The following is a 22,091-nucleotide window of genomic DNA, read 5'->3' as shown; positions in this document are numbered from 1 at the left end:
ACCTCCTCACTTGTAGTGTTTGACTATCACTGTCAAGCAGCAGGACAATTAGAGCAGCTGTTTTCTGTGTGGTCACAATGGGATGAAAGATGAGAAGAGAGCTAGGAGAGATTTCTTGGGGAAAGCAGATTCATCAGTTTAAAAATACAGTTTGAAAACACCAGCCTAGATGATCTTTGAATCTCCTTGCTCTGAACTCAGTGATTTCAGGCAAACCAGGGATGAACTGCTCAAGGCCACCAACTAGGCCTTGGCCTCTTCTTGATCATGAATCAGGCCTCTTCCATTTGTTAACAACAATGTCTGGTAGAAAGAACTGATGTTCCCCCAAGCCTGAAAAGCAGAGTCTTTAAGGAAGAAATTTTCAAAATTATCTGAGAGGGCAAAGTGGCAAATTGGTTCTGTTTTTTACCTCTCAATAAGCAAGCGATAAAACTGCAATTCATTCCATTAAAAATGATTCATTCACTTCTATTAATTCAGTAAACTTCAGCTGAAGGCCTCTGCATGCAGAGATATATGCAGAGAACCATGGAACAGCGAGAGTTTATGCCCTCAGGTTTTATGGGCATGATATGAGGTATATAAGAAATGAGTATAAGCTGGGAGAGGTGACTCACACCTGTAATCCCAGCACTTTGGGAGGCCGAGGTGGGTGGATCACCTGGGCTCAGGATTTCAAGACCAGCCTGGACAACATGACAAAACTCCGTCTCCACAAAAAATGTAAAAATTTGCCAGGAATGGTGGCATGTGCCTGTAGTCTTAGCTACTTGGGAGGCTGAGGTGGGAAGATCACTTGAGCTCAGGAGGCGGAGGTTGTAGTGAGACACTGCATTCCAGCCTGGGCAACAGAGTAAGACCCTGTCTCAAAAAACAGAAACAAAAACAAAAAGGTAAAAATAACAATAATGGGTTGAGTGCCATGAGAAATAGCTAGAAAGCTTTATAGGAAGTGGGCTGTTTAGAGCAAGGGAAGGAGGAATCAGGGTAGAGTTTAATTGGAAGGGCCTTGAAGGAAAAATTGGGTTTAAGCTCAGGATGAAAAACATTCCAAGCAGAGAAACTTACATTGACACAGAGGCAGGAAAATGGAAAACATGTATGAGGAAAAATGAATAGTTTAGTTTGGCTGACACTGAAGTTTGGCAAGAAGAGTAGTTGGAAAGGTCCATTGGGTGGGTGTCTTAAATAAACACTCTTTGTCCATTTCAGTCTTTCCAAGGTTGTACCACCTGATTCCAGATGGTGAAATTACCAGCATCAAGATCAATCGAGTAGATCCCAGTGAAAGCCTCTCTATTAGGCTGGTGGGAGGTAGCGAAACCCCACTGGTCCATATCATTATCCAACACATTTATCGTGATGGGGTGATCGCCAGAGACGGCCGGCTACTGCCAGGAGACATCATTCTAAAGGTAGAGACTGTGGCTGTGGGGCTGCAGCAAGGGGCTTGATATAAAAAAATGCTTCTGAGCAAACAATTGGATAGATGGATGGATGAATGAGGGAAATGGTAAAATAAATGTGGATAGTGACTTTCTATCATTTTATGACTCTCTGAGATTTGTCATTTAATTGAGATCTTTGTTTCTCTCTGTCTTGCTCTTTCACTCTCTCCCCCCTTTCTCTCTGTATATAAATATTTATCTGTCTCTATATCATTTTGTCTGTCCACTCTTCTGCCTTCTCCCTTCTAGCTTTTTCAATCTTCCTCTTCATTCCCTTTCTCCACCTCCTCTTTCTCCTTTTATCTCTTTTTTTAAAGAGCATTAATATAAAATAAAACTGGGACATATATTTTCTTAAATTGTTTTTAGAGTAGATTAATAGAACATTTTGTATTTTATTTAATCACAATCATCTACTTTTTGAAAGTCAATTTCCTATAGTCTTACGGCCCTCCCTGAAAATAAAAGTAATCTCTATGCTAATTCCACCAACCCAGAGACATACCAGGGGAGACAGGTGTTGGAATAGAATGCTTTGGGTGTTACTGTCCTCAGAGGCTTGGTTAAGGAGAAGGAGGAATTTTCAGAACAGAAAGGATAAAAAGATCTGTTTACCAGGCAGAAGTCCAATGTTTGCCAAAAGTGCCAAGAAACCCCTCCCTGCTCGTATATTTTCTATCTGACACTCAGATAACAGTTCTATCCCATCCCTTCTAGGTTGCTGAGGGACCGGCTCCTGTCACATTATGAGCTGTTTCTTTGGCAAACTGATTGGAATAAGAGGAGAAATAACCTAAAGCAGTTTTCACAGAAATACTGAAATTCCTGCTGGCCTCCGAGGTGGAGCATAAGACAGGGCCCTCGGGGCAGGCCGCAGTACAATCAGCTACACTGTGCACTGCTGCCTCCCAGTTCTAGTGGAAACTATGCTGCCTGGCAGGGTTGCATAACAAAACATTTTGATTCTTGTGGCCTTCAACTGGAGCTTACAAACAAAAGGGCTGCCAGGACTATTTAGCAGGCAACCCTGACTCCCCTGACCTTCTCTGGGCCCAGAGGTGATGGGGGAACCCGGCCCTGCCACCTCAGGTGCTCTCCTCACCTGTGCTTGGACAAAGGTGGTGAGCTTTGCCTTTGCATGAGGGAGCCTCTGGAGCTGCACCAGAGAACAGGTGATTATATCCTCAAGAAAGGCCTTTGTAAAGCCCATTCCAAGCCTTCTCTAACAATTGGCTGCAAATACAAGAAATCTTATCAAACTACAGAAATTCAAGAAAGTTATTTCTCCTCCATGGGGCCTCTTTCCTCAAACACAGAGTGCAGCAATTGCTGCGAAATTGTTTTCTTCCAACATAGGGGGCTCTGGCTGGGCCTGTGTAGCCAGAGAAATTAAAACCAGAAAGCCCCATGCAGTATCAGCCCTACACATCATTAGTGAGGCACAAATGAGAGGGCCGAGCTTAAGCTTGTTTAAGTAGCTTTATAAAGAGATCTAGCCTTTCAATAAAAGAGCCTGGAAACTTCCTTTCATATCAGTTTGTCTGAAACTGTGCAAGGATTTCTTCCTTTTGCTGAGAACATGGGCAAAAAAACCTTGCAGGGGACCACCCTGAGACCTGACACATTCCCATCCGCACACACACAGTATCACACGCACATACACTCCATCGTGCTCACACACTCAGACCCTCACTCACACACTATCACATCTACATACACACACAGTGGTGAGGACTGGAAGTTCTGGTATGAGTTGACCCAGGGAGAAAAATTCAATTGGAGATTTTTGGGAAGAAAATGTCAACTCGGCTTGAAGAGCTGTTTAATGCAATCATTTGACTGAGGCAAATGGGAAAAATGCTTTTCTTTTGCCTTTTCCTACCTTATCTTCCTTCCCTCTCTTCCTGCCAGCTAAAAAATAATGACAACAGAAATGAAGGCTAGGATTCTGGGAATAAATATGTGGGCTTGGGTAAGAACAAGGTGGAGAAAGATGGTGTCTACTCACAGAGGCCTGGAGAGGTGCTGCAGGCCACGCTTGGAGAGAACAGGGTTAGAAACGCTGTTGGAAGGTGCGGTTATTGGACACAGGATGAGGTGGGAGAGCAGAGCAGTCTTTAAAGACAGGATCCTGGCTTTTCTGTGGGCCTGGATCTTTCAGGAAGGGTTGTGGCAGGTGGAGCTGACCGCACGATTGTTCCACCTGCCCCCAGGTCAACGGGATGGACATCAGCAATGTCCCTCACAACTACGCTGTGCGTCTCCTGCGGCAGCCCTGCCAGGTGCTGTGGCTGACTGTGATGCGTGAACAGAAGTTCCGCAGCAGGAACAATGGACAGGCCCCGGATGCCTACAGACCCCGAGATGACAGCTTTCATGTGATTCTCAACAAAAGTAGCCCCGAGGAGCAGCTTGGAATAAAACTGGTGCGCAAGGTGGATGAGCCTGGGGTTTTCATCTTCAATGTGCTGGATGGCGGTGTGGCATATCGACATGGTCAGCTTGAGGAGAATGACCGTGTGTTAGCCATCAATGGACATGATCTTCGATATGGCAGCCCAGAAAGTGCGGCTCATCTGATTCAGGTGAGTCAGAGGTCATTCCAGGATCCCAGTCAGAAACCCCGGACATGAGCAAGAATGCACATCCCCCTGAACCAGGCACCCTGTCACTACCACATGTGTCATGCAGTGCCTCCCTTTCAAGGAGTCAGGATGGAAAGACCAACATTTTCAAAGCTTCTGCCCAGGTAAGAACATTACTCGGCTGGGCGTGGTGGCCCATGCCTGTAATCCCAGCACTTTGGGAGGCCGAGGCAGGTGTATCACATGAGGTCAGGAGTTCAAGGCCAGCCTGGCCAACAGGGTGAAACCCCATCTCTACTAAAAATACAAAAAATTAGCCAGGTGTGGTGGCAGGTGCCTGTAATCCTAGCTACTCAAGAGGCTGAGGCAGGAGAATCACTTGAAACTGGGAGGCGGAGGTTGCAGTGAGCTGAGATCGTGCCACTGCACTCTAGCCTGAGCAATAGAGCAAGACCCATCTTAAAAAAAAAAAAAGCTATGCCATGCATTCTCCAGGGATCCTATGGACAGAGTAAGTCTTAGTCTCCATGGCTAAGTCCAGGTGACTTCGAAAGCACTTGGAAACCCAAGTATGAACCTGAGAGGAAGCCCCCTAAGAAGAGAGGGACGCAAATTCTTGATCACTCAGGCAAGTAGAGTTCATGACTGTTCAAACTAATCCACTTTTCTGACCAGTATAATGTCATCAAGCACCTGTATGTATTTTGTTGACTTCGTCAGGGTCACTGTTGAAATTTTTTTTTCTTTAGCTTTTTTATTTTAAGATAATTATCAATTAGTATGCAATTGTAACTCACCTTCGTATTTTGAGATAATTATCAATTAATATGTAATTGTAAGAAATAATACAGAGAGATCCCATGTCTCGTTACTGTTTTTCCTAGTGTTAACATCTTGCAAAACCATAGTATGGCATCACAAGCATGCTATTGACATTAACAGTCATAACAGAAGATTTCCATCACCACAAAGATCCCTATAAAAGTTGCCTTCTATTGCCACATCCATTTCCCTCCCCGCCCCACGTCCTCCTTAACCCTTGGAAATAACTAATCTGTTTTCTATTTCTATAATTTTGAATTTCAAGAATGTTATATAAATGAAATCATATACGGACTTGGGGGACTGGCTTTTTTCACCCGGTATAATGTTCTGATAGTTTTGTGTCTCAGCGACGTTTCATAAGCTGTGAGCTTTATTCTTGGAAGAATAGACTTTGTTCTGGGCTCTTATGTTCTAACCCATTCATTCACTTCATCCAGCAAATATCTGTTAAGTTCTGCTGCTTATGTACCCCTGGGTTAGATGCAGAAATTGGAGGGAGGACCACTTAGATTATTCTTCCAAAGGATCCTCCAGTGTGGCAGGAAAGCTGGACTTTATCTAAATGACTGCCCATGCAGTCTAACACTGCTGCAATGGAAAAAATTAAGTATGATGCTGATGCAGGCGCAGGGGAGATTTTTGCTTGACTAGGCCTGTGAATTCCTCAGAGGAGGAAGATCTTGAACTTGGGGCTTGAGGAATGAGCTGGAGTTCTCCAGTGTACAAGTCAGCAAGGGTCATCCTAAGGAGACACAAGACAAAAGAACATTTCCTTAATAGCCCATGTGTTAGTCCATTCTCTTGCTGCTGATAAAGACATACCCAAGGCTGGGTAATTTAAAAAGAAGAGGTTTAATGGATCCACAGTTCCACATGGCTCGGGAGGCCTCACAATCATGGCAGAAGGTGAAAGGCCAGTCTTACATGGCAGCAGGCAAGAGAGAATGAGGGTCAAGCAAAAGGGGAAACCTTTATAAAACCATTGGATCTTGTGAGACTTACTACCACAAGAATGGTATGGGGGAAACCACTCCCGTGATTCAATTATCTCCCACTGGGTCCCTCCCACAACACATGGGAATGATGGGAGCTACAATTCAAGATGAGATTTGGGTGGGGACACAGCCAAACCATATCAGCCTATTAGGGAAATGATAAATAGTACCTGGAGCCTGGGGTGTGTATTTTAAAAAGCAGCCATAGACGAGGCAAGAGACAGATCATGTGAAATATTGCGAGCCATGCTAAGGACCTCAGACTTTATCCGCAAAGCCACGGGGGCATTCTTGGAAGGGTTTAGGAAAGGAAATGGCATGATCTTCTAGAATGATCTCTCTCAAGTCAGTGGAGAGCTGAAAAGAGAAGGGCAAGATCCAGCGGCCTTAAGAAGCATTCTCAATTATCCAGCAAGTCTATGTCAACTTCCACTTAGTGACTGAAGTCTTCATACTTTGAGAATAGGCAGTAAGTCAGCAGCAGTAACTGACTAGCCCTGCACCAAGTTCCACAGAGGGTGATCATCAAAAGACTGTTTGCTTTCAAGGACTTGGTTATCTAAACACAAATAAATTTGCCTGCACCTGAGATCTGGTTATGTGATTCTTTCAGGTAGGTGCTGGCAACTCTCTGCACTGTCCTGTACAGTAGCTTATCCCTCTTCGTGGAAGAGGACCAAGTGTTGGATGGTATTACTGTCATTGTAGACCTGGGCAGCCTGAGGCAGAGGGTACAAGGGGACTTAGCCTTCTCCCTCTGCCCACCAGGGCAGAAAACACACGTGGTACCTTAGCTTTTGAGCTGTGCCACTTGGTGGTGTCCCAGTTCCAAGGTGGTTCTCGGCCCCCATGGATGCTCATCTGCCCTAGAGGGCCCGAGCTCATGCCAAGTAGAGCAGGTGGGGAACAAAACCAGAGTTAGAAGAGGCATTTTCTGGCTGGGTGTGGTGGCTCACATCTTTAATTCCAGCACTTTGGGAGGCCGAGGCAGGCAGATCATGAGGTCAGTAGTTCGAGACCAGCCTGGCCAACATGGTAAAACCCCATCTCTACTAAAAATACAAAATTAGCTGGGTGTGGTGGCAGGCACCTGTAATTCCAGCTACTTGGGAGGCTGAGGTAGGAGAACTGCTTGAACTCGGGAGGCGGAGGTTTCAGTGAGCCAAGATCGCACCACTGCACTCCAGCCTGGAGACAGAGCAAGACTCTGTCTCAAAAAATAAACAAAGAGACATTTTCCTTCTGAGGTGTATGCCATCTATTCCCAAATTCATGTGCCCACCTCACCTTCTCCTCTGACCACACTTGCACCTCCAGATGCCTGCTTCATATCTTCCTGTGGATAAGGCAAAGGCATCTCAAACTTAATGTCCAAAACTGAACCCTTGGCTCCTCCCATTCCACCCCTTGCCCAACGTGCTCTCCCCTAGGCCATTCCTAGTCTATAAAAATGGCACCTCTATTTACCCAGTGACTTGAACCAAAAAGAACTTTGACTCACCTCAGCGTCTTGCTCCCCCAACCCATTTTGACCTGGTCTGAGTGACGGCTGGAGCCTCTTTGCTGGCCTTCTGCCTTCCACACTTAATCATCTCTCTCCTACTCTATGCACAGCAGAGAGAATGAGCTCTTTACCAAACCACTCCAGTCAGGATGCCACTCTCTCTCTCTCTCTCTCTCTCTCTCTCTCTCTCTCAGAGCCCTCTGAGGCCTCCTGAGACACTTAGGTTAAAGTTGCAGATCGTTACTATGGCCTGCAATGCCATACGTCTTGTGGCCTGTTCTCTCTCCAACCTCATTTCTTACAGAAGAGGATATTTAGTATTCTCCCCATGTTTAACCATGTGCCCCATTGCCTTCTTGGTGCTCTTCAAGCATTTCTGCCTCAGGCCTGGCATTCTTGCTGTTCCTCTGCCTGGAAGAATCTTCTAAATATCCATTTGCTGCATTCCCACAGTTCATTCAGGTCTCCTCTCAACTGTCAGAGAGCTCTTCACTGTCAATTCTACTAAGAATTGTGTCCATTTCTGCTCATATACACTTTATCCTACAATACTCTTCAATTACTACCAACTAATATTACCTGCCAGACAGTAAAGTAAAGTATTATATCCTCAGCCAAGCGCAGTGGCTCATGCCTGTAATCCCAGCATTTTGGGAGGCCGAGGCGGGTGGGTCACCTGAGGTCAGGAGTTCGAGACCAGCCTGGTCAACAGGGTGAAATCCTATCTCTACTAAAAATACAAAATTAGCCAGGGGTGGGGGCGCACGCCTGTGATCCCAGCTACTTGGCAGAAGAATCACTTGAACCCGGGAGGTGAAGGTTGCAGTGAGCCAAGATCGCGCCATTGTACTCCAGCCTGGGCAAAAAGAGTGAAACTTTTCTCAAAAAACAAACAAACAAAAAAAAGTATCGTATCCTCAGCACTTAAAGCAATGGCTGGCAATAGTAGGCACTTGATAAATATTTGCCAAATAAGTAAATGGAGTCAAATTATGAACATCTATGTGTATATAAAATATATTTTATACATTAACTTTATCTCCTAGGGATTGGTTATCAAACCATTTACCAAAGAAGCACCAAATCTGCTTTCATGTGCCATTTGTCCCCAAGATACCATATCTACTCTTTGTCTCCTTGAATTTGTTCAGTGATTATTGACTGAGCAACTTCTTTGTGCCAAGAGGTGTGTGGTACCATGCTGAACTAGGTTGGTACAGTTCCTGGCCTGGTAGAGCTTGGAATGTATTCCTGCCTTTTATCTCAAAAGAACCAAGTCAGCATTAGGCAGGTGGCATTAGCCGGCCAATCAATGAGAAGAGAAAATATGCTATGTTTATGAAAACCTTCACACATGGAAAAGGGAGAGTCCATTGTATTTCTTTATGAAGAAACTGCATTCTTAGCAAGATTTTTTTTTTTTTTCTCACTTTGAAAACTAGCCTTTTAGGTGACCACCAGTACTTTTTCATGTTACACTTGTTAACTCCCTCTGCAGGTCAATCGGTGCAACTCACATCCTGGAGATAATGTTTGCCAACTATACTTCGCAATAAGCAAAAGAAAAACTCTTACTCATCATGTCATTTGGAAAAATCTTGACTACATATGGCATTTTGCTTTTGTAGATTAATAACAGAAGAGCAAAAACAGTTTCTTCCCTGAGAAAGTTAATTTATGGAATAAAACCTTGCCTAACACTGGGACTTCCTAAAAGATTCTTTTGCTTACTAAACAAAGCCAACGTGCTTTATAAGCAGGAAAAACCTTTTAAAAAAAAATGGGAGCAAAGCTAGTTGAAAAAGAAATGGAAAACACGGAATGTTGGAAAAACCTAGCTAAGCAATCGCATGCCGTTTCTGAAGAGTGGATTTTATTTATGTGATATTTGTAACACACACCAGGCTGAGGGGATTAAACTAAATACCCTTCAAATGTTGAGACTCAAATTTCTAACCAATCCTTGGCTATGTTGCCTTTGTATGTCTACTCCGTGAATCACATTTGCCTTACAAAGAAATTCCCAGACAACATGTTTTTTGGTCATGTTCTCTCCCACAGTACCCCACATTCAGCTTTTTTTCTGCATTACTTCAGGGAAGAGTTATTACAGAGAGGCCACAACCATTTTATATTTGACCAGCTTTACATATGTTGAGCTCTAACCTCAGCTTACTCAGCAGCAGCCTGGGTTTGCCAGGCCCTTTTAAGAAGAAAGTCCTTATGGAGATAGAAGCCTCAAATATGGTGCTGATGATTTATGTAGCTACTAAGTACAATTTTATTTTTCTCCATTGTCAATTTCTCAAGTCAATTTCCCAATCATGACTGGAATAACTGTATGAAAGAGGCAGCTTTTTGGAACTGTCTGATGTCATAGCTAAGATAACAGAACAAAGAAATAATGGACCAAAGATTCAAATTTGAATGTCCCTCTTAAGCCTTTTTTCCATAGGCAATTCCAGACTTGATGCAGAAACTGAAAATACTCAAAGCCATTTCTAGAGCCAATGATAATAGGGGCTTTCATCAATACCGGCATATGTGTAATTGTTTTTTCCTTATATGAATCAATATTTAAATGAGAATTCATTTCATCAAAGAACATTTGACAACAGGCTCTTCAAACTTTTTTTTTAATGAGATAGACCTTCAGACAGAGCCACAAAGCCAATAATGGACTATTTGCATTGCCATACCTGCAAAAAAGGGTAGAACTTTTGTGGTACTGTAAACATTCAAGTCCCCCGGAGCCAGTAAGAATTGCCAGTGAAATAAAAGCTGATAGATCTGTATTTTTTTTTTAACAGATCAGTACACTTAATCTGGAATTAAATCCCTACTTAAATAAATTGTCTTACCATGGTTTGTGGTAAATTTAATGCACATAGACTTGATTATAGAATATTTTTTAATCTCCTTGAGCTGAATTCTCAAAGTCCAAGTGATTTTTATCTAGGGCTCCAAATTTTATGCATTCTTGATAAAGTGTGTGACTTGGTAAACTGTACAGCTTTTCAACTTAGAATTTCATGAGTGAATATTATGTGCAGCTACACACTGCAAATATTAGGGGATCTTGAAACTTCACTACCCTTCCTCTAACCCACATATCCCCCCAAATATATATATTTTTATAGAACATAATCATGAGAGTAACTTCTAGATATCCTAAAAGAAATGGTGTCTGAGGCAAGGATGCTGAGTCATTTTACTGACTCAGCCACCAGCAGATTCAGGGACTCAAGAACTAAATCCTTGTGTCTTGCCCTTGTCACTGACATCTGTATGACCCCATATAAGTCACCATCTGTATTATCATTAATGTCTTTGCATCTAAAGATACATGCTTCTGGGAACATAAGGATGAACATGGAGCTATAGTCTACTGGGAAAAATAAACCATATTGCTGCCCTAATTCTCCTTTTCCACCCTGATCAAATCTTAAGATCCTATTTACTATGTTTCTTCAAAGCCTCCTTAATTTTCTCTCTCCTTGGCCAGACTGATTGCTTTTAGCTCATTGAAGGAGCTACCACCTCTTCAGCATGAGATACTCATAAACTTTTTAATAATATATCAGGCACTTTTCTGGGGGTCCAAAGTTTCAATGGCAAACAAATTAATACAGACCAGATTTGCTCTGACCAAACTCATTTTATAGGGAATATCAACTTATAGTACACCATTAATTCATTCTAGAGTTATATTTCTGGAGCCTCCAACTCGTTGCTCAGTGGGAGGATTTTTTTTCCCTGGAAGTTCTTTTGTTCACTGGAAGGAAGGGAAGGGGAAGGGTTCTGTTTCCAAACCTTGTTGTGAAATACACTGACATATCAACCGGAATGACTGATGACTTTGATTTTTTTCTAGCATATCATTCGGTTCTGATGCTTCCAGTTGTCTGTATTGTCATGTAAGGTCTGTATGGCATCATGTGGTCTCAGGGGTGGGCTGCTCTGCTATAATTTGTCCTATAGTGCAGTCCTGAATACCTCCTTGTCACCTTTCAATTAATCCATAGGTAAAGACAGGAATCGATTGAGTTTTTGGATTCATAGAGCATAGAGACAATCCCCTATGCTTGTATGAATGACAAAATTGAAACGCCATTAATGAGGTCCTCAGTGCAGCTGGTTCATCAACAAAACTACTGCACTCTATACTGGTCAGTCCAGAACTCATCTTCTGGGTTCTATTCTGCATGTGCACACACACAACTTTATTACAGCGAGTCCAGAACTTATTACATTTTTTAGATGACTTGAAAAGATATTTAATGTGGAAAAAACTAGGAATAGTTGACCTGGAAAGGGAAAGAGCTAAGAGAGAGCAATGAGAGTGATCCTCAAATAGGATTGTCACAGGGAAATTGATGTGGGGTTGCCCTACTGGGCATAACTAGACCAATAGGCAGGCAATAGGATGGCAAATTTAAGTTCAACCTAAGGACAAACATTCAAATTAGTGCTATCTAAAAATGGCCAATGTTGCCTTGGGACACAGTGAGCTCCCTGTCATTGGGGGTACTGAAGCATGAACTGGGTGACAACATGGCAAGGAATTTGTAGGGAAATTGAATTATAGGCTATAGAGAAAATGTTGGATGAGATGATGTCTGACATTTCTTGTGTGTCTGTGACTTTCTAATTTTATGGAACCAGTGCCTTCACAATTTCCCAGGGCTTTGTGAGCACAAGATGGATTCACTGAGAATGATATTTGAACAGTTGCTGGAAGGGATTCTAAAATGGGGCAACCACAGACAGTGTAGAAAGAGCCATCCCCACAAGCATATGTTGAAAAATCATTTAAAGCCAAACTGTCTCATTTTGAGATACTTGGAAAAGAAACCAATGAGGAATGCAGAATACATTTTTTAAAGAAGTGATTATTAAAATATCAGGTTAATGTAAAATATGTTGATGATGAAACCCTAGAGGACGAGCTCTATAAGCAGCTTATATAGTTATCAGTCGCATTACAGCTCTCACCTGTTTCTGTAACAAGGGGCCCACGCAATCAAGCATGAGTCTCCTGTGGACCAAGGCTATGCTATAAAGGAAGCTATGTACATGGTCTGCCTACTTTGAACAACACGGTCCTGATGCCCAGCAGTGGGTTTGGAGTCTCCTTTCAAGTGTGTGTATAGAATAATACCCTGGGGCATTGTGGGGAGAGGGTGGCAACTCTTAACTTTCTTAACTTGAAACTTTATAAAACTGATACAAGAAACACAATAACAAATGAACCCAGTGCATTTTATATAGTTTATCATACATTTTACTTAAGCATATACCTATATCTCAAAAAGGCAGCAAATGTTATCATGCATTTGGCTTAACTCCAATCTGTCTCTGCCAATGAGCAGGTGAAGCCTTTGGCTGGATGAGAACAGGTACTTGACCAGTTCTTACTCCCCCTGTACGTTTTCACTGGCCCTCATAGTCACTGTATGGACTCATGCAATGCCAAGGCAGTAGAAAGATGCCCTGTGCTCCAGTGTACAGCTCTGCAAAATGCTGCTCCTTGTGTGGTGGCATGTTTGACTTCCATCTCTCTGCTCTGGGAAGTTGCAAATCTATGTTACGCCCTGACAGTATGAGCAGTTTTCATCAGCCATAGTGGATTTTGGAAGAGAAAGAGTCAGTTGCAGGCTGAACACAAAGGAAGATGCTTGCTTGGCAAGAGGTCACAGTGCAACGCTCCCAGACTCCTTCCAGCTATAAGAGATAGGCTTTGTTATTTAAAGATGGGTACATATAAATGAGGCTTCTGGACTATGTTTTTCTTCTCTTAGTCACTGTATGGATTCATGCAATGCCAAAACAGTAGAAAGATGCCATGTGCTCCAGTGTATAGCTCTGCAAAATGCTAAGTTCCATCATATAAATATGATTGGCAATTTTGAGTCAAATCTCAACAGAGAAAAGCAGTCATTAAACAAAACGACAGAAAGCCAGTCCTTCCATACAGACGCTACTTAGTTTTAACCCTCTTTTTTTTCTCTGAATATTAGATGGTTCCTATTTCCTCAGCCAGAAGTAATTGGTCCCACCTCTGGAGACCCTTAAGTATATTCCCCATTTCTCTTTCATGGCACTCCCATCTGACTGTCCCTGCAGTAGGAAACATTCCGGGAGGGCAGGAACCATGTCCTCAAGGTTCCCAGTGTGTTGTCTGCCCAGGGCAGGCAGATCAGCCTTGGGGACAGAGTGCTTGTCAGGAGGCTGCCAATAAGCTAAAGTCCACAGGGGAGAATATGGATGGCATCAGAACCGCTTCCTCTTGGCCTGTAGAAAAAAGAGAGGGATGCTGGGTGAAGTGGCATGCCTGTAGCCCCAGCTACTCTGGATGCTGAGGCGGGAGAGTCGTTTGAGCTCAGGAGCTCTGGGGCTGTAGTGCGCTCTGCCGATTGGGTGGCTTCACTAAGTTTGGCATCAATATGGTGCTCTGCCAGGAGCGGAGGACCACCAAGTTTCCTAAGGAGGGGTGAACTGGCGCAGGGCGGAAAAGAGAGAGGGAGTCTAATGCTTCAGCTCTTGGGAGGGAAAGAATATGGTACAGCAGTCAAGCTATGCAGGTTGTAACCAGTGTGTCCAGAATTTGCCTAGATCACAATCTAGGATTCTTAAGGGAGAGAGGAGAGGAAACTTTAAGTCATGTCTTCTAATTAAGGTAGCCACCATTGTTAAACCATCCTTTTGCCCAAATTGCAACATCCCAAGAGATGCAAGAGAGAAGCTGTCTTACCTCTTTCTTGCAGTAAGCTATTCCTTGCTTGCTGGAATGACAGCTCTGCTGTATCCACTTTCTTGGTACATATCACATAGGTGTGAAATAAACAAGTTTCTGCCATTTTCTCATTCAGTCTTTCTGTGTCTCCCCTATACTCCCCCTCCTCACACTCACACCACATTGATACTAGTGGAAAGAAAGATTCTCTGGTGCTAGGGGATGTTTCTCTGCATTGAATCCAGCTCCTGATAGGAGTTAAAGCCAGGACAAGCATATTAGCCCGTTTTCCACCTTATATCTTCAAACACCACAAAAGTACATCAAAGTCTTCCTGTGAGCAATTTACAAGGTGGCTGGTAAGAGCCACAGATCCAGTCTTGCAGAGAATTTCTTTCCAAGTAAATTGATACCAGAATTATTTATTGTAGTGTTATTCCTGTCAACAACTTAATACCAAAGCCAGCATTTGAAAATCCAGTGAGAAATTTGTCCTTGAAAATGTGAATTAAATAGTTCTTGCAGGCTTCTCCTTGGCAATTTGGATTTTGCCTGGCAAGTTGATTCGATGTGCAAGTCTAAAATTTTCTCAGTTCTTATGAGGTGCTTAGATCATGTGGCTACTCCTCATCCAAAATGAACATGATACAATTTGCAAGCCTATGGACACTCTGCTGGGATCCTTCAAAACATCGGAGTTTCCCCAAAGAGAGCAAATTCGAGCTCAGTAATTGGGGTTTTGACCTGAATGTTCACCACTTCTTATCTTTTAGTAAGTTTTGCTTTAGAGAGTTCCCAAAGATAATCTTATTTAGAAGAAGGGAGGCTTATAGTACAAAGAAAGACACAGCTATTACAAAATACTCTTCCAAGAATTGGATTTAGTCAGCTAATTCCATCGTTCTTCATGTCAGCTTTCTTCACGATTGTTTCCTGGGCTTTTTATTTTTGTTCTGTTCAGACACAAGCTTTATATGTGATGAGAAACACCAGGGAATTCAAGATAGGTAAACAAAGGAAGGGCACATTAGCCTTGTCTGGGGAGATCAGAAGTGATGGCCAGACTTTGTGTGAAGGACATGGGCAGAGGACTCCAACTTCTTTTTTGGGCCCTTTTCAGAAGGATTTTCTAGTTTTTGTGAAATGAGTCAACTCACCTGGCCGATCATCCATTTTGATGTTACAATAGACACTCTTACTGTACGCTAGCAGTTGTCTCTAAAAGTTCCTTTAATTTACAGCCACCCAAATCATGACCCCTAAGTTTCAAGAGAGCCCTGAGAAGAAGTGTTATAAGAGTGCAAAGTCATGAAGATTTGGACTGGTTAGTGTCAGACAACCATAGGGATATTGTTTCATTGGTGGATGGTTTTTACTAAAGATTTTTTTTTTCTTTTTTTGAGATGGAGTCTTGCTTTCTCACCCAGGCTTGAGTGCAGTGCCACAATCTCGGTTCGCTGCAACCTCCACCCTCTGGGTTCAAGCAATTCTCCTCCTGCAGCCTCCCGAGTAGCTGGGATTATAGGTGCCTGCCACCACGACTGGCTGATTTTTGTATTTTTAGTAGAGAAAGGGTTTCACCATGTTGGCCAGGCTGGTCTTGGACTCCTGACCTCAAGTGATCTGCCTGCCTCAGCCTCCCAAAGTGTTTACTTGAGATTTTTAAAACAAGGTCCTAGTTCCTGAGAGTGAGTGAGTTGTGTGCTCTGGGAATGAAGATGCAGAAAAGGCATTGTCTTAGTCCATTCATGCTGCTATAACAAAATACACTATCCTAGGTGGCTTGTAAACAACATAAATTTATTTCTCACAGTTCTGGAGGTCAAGAAGTCAAAGATCAAGACACTAGCCGGTTTGGTGTCTGGGGATGGCTACTTCCTCACAGATGGCACCATCTCACTTTGTCCTTACATGGTAGAGGGGCAAACAAGATTCCTCCAGCCCCTTTCATAAGGGCTGTAATCCCCTTAGGAGGGACCTGCCTTCATGACCTAATCACCTCCCAAAGGCCCTACCTCCAAATGCTGCCGTGTTGTGGGTTAGGATTTTAACATCTGAATTTTGGGGAAACATGTTCAGACCATAGCAGGCAGGAAGAAAATATCTCCACCACCATTGTCTGAGTCAATGCAAAAGAGCATGGAATTTCAATGCCCTCATTTCATGACCTTTCTCCCCTAGCCCAATAACCATCCCTGTATAGGAAGAAAGCTGGCAGGTCACTGCCCCTTCTCTGTTGTGGTGGTGAGTGGGCAAGGGATGGGATGAAGAGAGGAACCACCAAACCTTACTCCTCTCTCTTCCATCTCCCTTGTCCCTAAACCAGGTCTGTCTTGGGAATCTTTCTAATCAAATCTTCCATATCTCATTCATTTTCAACTTTTACTAAAGTGATAAATGAGGTCAGCTGGCTACTTCAGCCTAGGCCACCAGAGAGCTCTATTTATGTGAGTTTCATAGGTCTAAGATTTAGTCTGAATGACCTGCAGCTCTGAAATCTCAATGGTCAGCAATTCTGGAATAATGGCCCATACTACCTGACACATGTGAAACTAATCTGTGGCAGAAAGACAATTTGTAAATGTATCATTGTATTTGTCTGCTCTCATGCTGCTATTAAAGACATACCCGAGAATGGGTCATTTATAAAGGTTTAATGAACTCACAGTTTTACATGGCTGGGGAGGCCTCTCAGTCATGGTGGAAGATGAAGGAAGAGCAAAGGGATGTCTTACATGGTGGCAGACAAGAGAGCCTGTGCAGGGGAACTCCCATTTATAAAATCATCAGATCTCGTGAGACTTACTATCTCGAGAACAGCATGGGAAAGACCCACCCCCATGAATCAGTTACCTCCTGCCAGGTCCCTCCGATGACATATGGGAATTATGGGAGCTACAATTCAAGGTGAAGTTTGACTGGGGACACAGTCAAACCATATCGATGATGTGGAGTGGACCTTTCCAATAAGTACTATATTTGCTATTCTGAATGCCTGTCCAAATATCAATGTACATAGCAGAGAGAATTAGCAGAGTAACTGGTAGTTCCATAAAAAATAAAGAAATCAAGGCAAATTACTCTTTTGCAGTTTTTTAAACATTTTGTATTTCAATAGCTTTAGGAATACACGTGGTTTTTGGTTACATGGATGCATTGTATGGTGGTGAAGTCTGAGATTTTAGTGCACCTGTCACCTGAATAGTGTACACTGTACCAAATAGGCAGTTTTTCATCCCTCACCCCACTCACCCTCCCCTTTTCTGAGTCTCCAAAGTCCATTATATTACTCTGCCTCTGCATCTCCAGAGCTAAGCTCCCACTTACAAGTGAGAACATGCAGTATTTGATTTTCCATTCCTCTGTTACTTCACTTAAAATAATGGCCTCCAGTTCCATCCAAGTTGCTGCAAAAGACATTTTTTCATTCTTTTTTGTGGCTGAGTAGTATTCCATGGTATATACATACCACATTTTCTTTATCTACCTATCAGTTGATGGGCACTTAAGTTGATTCCATGTCTTTGTGATTGTGAATTGAAGGTAAAGGATTTTGATTAGGTTGTACATATTAATGTATGAAGTCATCCCCATATTTCTAAAGTGCTAAACCTTTCCTATGCCCAAATATTTGCAAGTGTCAGGCTCAGGATTTCTCTTCCTGCAGTGGCAAGTTACTGCCATTAACTCCATCTCTTTTTCTTTACTGTGTACCATTGATCTTAGATCTTTGCTTTGGGCTGCTACTTTACACAGTGCACCTAATTCTATCTGGGAAGAACTTAGGGCATGGCTTGTGTGTGGTACAACCATTAATTAAAAATGAATTAGCAATATCTGATGATGCCTTTTCAAAGATTGGAAGGAACCAAACCTTCCCTAGTTTTCCCTTGGAGCAACATTTACTACCTGGTTTAAGGATAAAGGAAAGAGCTCTCATGCTCTTGGCAAATTACAAGATGGATAGTAACAAAAAAACCCAACAAACTAGAAATCATGTTTTGCCATAAAAAAATGGTATAATCAAAGTGATGTTTTTGTAAGCTCCTGGTGCTGAATGCAGTGGATGGAAACTGACAGTGGCTAATGCCTGTGTCTTCTTGCCCAGGCCAGTGAAAGACGTGTTCACCTCGTCGTGTCCCGCCAGGTTCGGCAGCGGAGCCCTGACATCTTTCAGGAAGCCGGCTGGAACAGCAATGGCAGCTGGTCCCCAGGGCCAGGGGAGAGGAGCAACACTCCCAAGGTGAGGCCTCTAGGGCAGGTCGCCTGCTCCTGCAAGGGGCTATTTCTTGGGAAGGCTGCTTGTTTTAACATGTCTAAGTGTCATCTCTGGACTTTTTTACTTAAAGAAACACTTTGACTTGTAAAACTAAAAGCCCAAAGTCCCATATTTAAGACTTGGAGAGATAACAGGTGTCTCCCATCCAAGCAGGAGAGAAGAAGGTGCAGGAAAGTTTTGAAACCTGATCATGCAGACCTCATACAGGGACCTGATTTCTAGCCTAAGCCAAATAAATGGCATGTTTTTACCAAGAGTCATCTTGTTTGAGGACTTATTTTATTCACTTTGAAATGAAGCAAGCAGTTTGCCTGGTTTCTGGCTTTTGAATTTTTCAGTCTGCCTAGAAATGAGTGATTTCCCCGCTACTTTTAGTTTTTGTTTGTGTTTGCCGAAGGGCCCAGGAAGATAATTTAAACACTTGAAGCTCATGTAACATTAGGGAGTGGTGGGGATTGGGGCAAACCAGAGAGCACATGTTATATGGCATTCAAATCCAGAAAACTCTAAAACACTGTGGATCTGTGGGTGGAATTCATTCTTCAGGCCACCAGTTTGCAGCCTCACTTTAAATGAAGTGACTCAGCCCAATTTGTACTTCTCTCTGTGGCTTCTATTAGAGGCAATGCCTTAACCTCTTCATTTGGATGCGTGTTTAAGCAACACAAACCTTGTTTAGTCCAAATTAAGAGTCCTATAGCTTTGGCTTGGCATCCTGTTGTGATGCTGATGAGCTTCTTTCAGTCATCTCTCCTGAGTTCTGGTTTCATGGCATCACTTGTAACTAAAAAAAATTCTTAAAGGTAGCTCATTCTTCTTGCAACAGAAAGTAGGGAATGCCCTTTTCTTTCTACGTCAATCTATATGTTGGTTGGAATAGCTTACAAATTGAGTTTTTGAGTAATATATAGAGAAACAATATTCAAATTTTTTATTTTGGAACATCTCTGCTTTATACTATGTTAATTACATAGCCTACAAGGTTATACACCCCTCCAGGTTCTCCAGCCAGCCAAGCCTCATAAATCCATAAATTACCTGTTTCTCTACAATAAGGAGTCTAGACAGACCAGATATATCCTGCTAAAACATTTTATGGATAAGGACTCCGTGATGTCTTTTTGCTAGTAAATGCTTAATGTTTAAATTTAACTGATCATCTTTATTAATGAAAAACTAGTTTATTAGCTTAATTAATTAATTGAAGTTTTTATCCAATTAACTAATTTTAGTTGAATTAACTAGAATACGTCATATTCTAAGTCATCAAATTATGGAGAAGGTAGCCTCCATCTGCACTGTGGTTTTAGAATTCCTTCCACCTCCTCATCATGAAAGAGCTGGGAGGATCTGGTCACATTTCTGCTGCAACCCTCTGTCATATGTCTTAATTCCTGGAAACGTGCAAACTGACTTAGTCGGAATTGTAATTATTTCCGTTTTAACTTATATTCTATCTGACTTCTGAAATATCCTCACAAAAAAGTAACATATTTAAAAAAACTGAGACATATATGGCTCTTTGATTATTTCAGTTTTTATATTCTTACTAAAATCTTGTTTGGTTTAGGAAACCAGGTAGCTTTTTAAAAATAAGAGCTTAAACAATTCAAAGAAATACCAAAGAAGACAAAGCAGGATTTGTGGGACAGAAAACTTTTAGCCAATTAAAAAAGTTAAGGAATGCTAGGCATCAAATTTTGCATGGTTTACCTCTGTGGGGAGGCAAGGCCTATGAGCAGAAAGAGTCATAGAGCGACTAAGTGCACATGGAATGTTTATTTCTGATGTAGGGTTTTGAGGTACATGGGTAGGTCATTCTGTTATTCTTTATGCTTTTTTACTTGTCTAAAATGTTTTATTCTAAATATCCAAAGCAAATATTCTAAAATGGAAATACATCTTATAGTTTGAGAAATATTCAGGTACCCATTGTGTTTTTAATTAGCTTAAACTATTTTACCATAAATTATGTTTTTAAACATCAAGGAACATTGTAAGGTGTCCAAAGTAGGGTGAGGAGAATGGCGAAAAAAGATAGATAGAAAAGTCATCTCTTTCATACGTAACTCTCCTCCTCTCCAGCCAAAGTCAGGTAACCCTGGGTGTGAAGCTTTCACAGATGATTTTCTTTTTCCATTGCTGACATTGGTCGCTTTTCTGGTTAAGAAAGGAAATGGTCATGGACACTGGTTCATGAGACAGGACACATGCACACATGCCATATTTGTGGTATTTCAGCCATTGCATCCAGCCCCTCAGTGCACAACTAAACATCTCTTGCTCACCGCAGGCAAGGCTGCCTGGTAAGCACTGAGCAGGTGTGAAAGAAGACTCTATAAAATATGGTTACTTTTTTTTAACATAGAAAAGTTTCTGATATTTATAAATGACAGAGTGTTTTTGAAATGCTGACTCACTACTATCAGGAATAAATGACTCACTTGAGAAATTTTGGGTGCAGTTCACTCTGTGTGCTTAAGATTCCTCCATGGCCAGGAGCAGTGGCTCATGCTTGTAATCCCAGCACTTTGGGAGGCCAAGGCACTTGGAGCCAGGAGTTCCAGACCAGCCTGAGCAACAAAGCAATACTTTTTCTCTATGAAAATATTTTAGAAATATATTTTTCTAATGGTCTGTAATCGGTTCCTTCCTCCATTTTTACTCTTTCCTTTTGAAGTGTAAACTTTATCTGAGTTAACCTGTAGAATTTGGGACAATGTAACCCTATTATGGTTGGGAGTGGATAAGGTGAGGGTTCTTTCCAGGTGTCTTTCTCTGTGATTTCAAGAACCACCATTGTATTTATGCACTTTGCATAATTTATGCAGCTTTGGTAATTTTTGCATTTAGAAAATGGAAACCCACTTTGCATTTTCTACATTCAAAAACTACCAGAGTTGTGAATTCATGTGCCATGTTTTTCCATCTGTGCCTTCAGCCCCTCCATCCTACAATTACTTGTCATGAGAAGGTGGTAAATATCCAAAAAGACCCCGGTGAATCTCTCGGCATGACCGTCGCAGGGGGAGCATCACATAGAGAATGGGATTTGCCTATCTATGTCATCAGTGTTGAGCCCGGAGGAGTCATAAGCAGAGATGGAAGAATAAAAACAGGTAAAAAGTAAAGGGATTTTAAAGGCACTGGGGTGGCAGAGAATCAAGAGAAATTAGTAGCTTGTTAGGTGACTATTTTCAAAATTAATGAGAGAATGTGGGAGTGATCGGCCAGGACTTTTGTTACCCATTGACCATGATTGGTTTGAGTATAGATACTAGACCAGGTTCCACTTTTCTTAGTTGCAGGCCAACTTGCCTGCAAGTAAAGCTAGAATCTCCAAACTGTTCCAGGAATTAATAGAGAACTGCTACAGTTATGAGCAAGTTACCTCTATTAAATGGCATAATGTAGTTCCATTCATTCTAAGTGGTTCTTTAGTGGGTTGATCCGGTGGTGGAATTCATGAAATAATTCATGAATTATTCAATTATATGGGTTAGATAGAAAAAGTCATTTGATAGATTTGATTCAATGAATACTCATTAAGTGAAAGTATCATGCTGGATACTTTCCCAGAGTGAAAATTATTTCACTACTTTAAGCTCATGTATTCTGGGCTACTTTGAGTAAATAAAGGAAGATGATATCAAATTTGCCTCTACAAATATGTATCCTTAATAATATTGTCAATTCATTCAAGAGGGTAGGTAGCT

At 42.0% G+C, this 22,091-nt stretch overlaps 1 protein-coding gene across 5 annotated transcripts in view; it reads left to right on the top strand.

The window, feature by feature from the left end:
- The window catches only part of LNX1 (ligand of numb-protein X 1), a 193,177-nt gene that overhangs the window by 152,419 nt on the left and 18,667 nt on the right, over positions 1-22,091 (top strand). For all 5 annotated transcript variants that reach the window (XM_005265785.6, NM_001126328.3, XM_024454262.2 and 2 more), the window contains 4 exons: positions 1,216-1,418; positions 3,665-4,036; positions 18,205-18,339; positions 21,317-21,494. In XM_005265785.6, coding sequence (XP_005265842.1) covers positions 1,216-1,418; positions 3,665-4,036; positions 18,205-18,339; positions 21,317-21,494 — 888 coding nt within the window. The remainder of the gene's footprint in view (positions 1-1,215; positions 1,419-3,664; positions 4,037-18,204; positions 18,340-21,316; positions 21,495-22,091) is intronic.

Source organism: Homo sapiens, chromosome 4 (assembly GCF_000001405.40).
Source record: "Homo sapiens chromosome 4, GRCh38.p14 Primary Assembly".
Lineage (NCBI taxonomy): Eukaryota > Metazoa > Chordata > Mammalia > Primates > Hominidae > Homo > Homo sapiens.
This window is presented reverse-complemented; position numbering and strand designations above follow the sequence as displayed.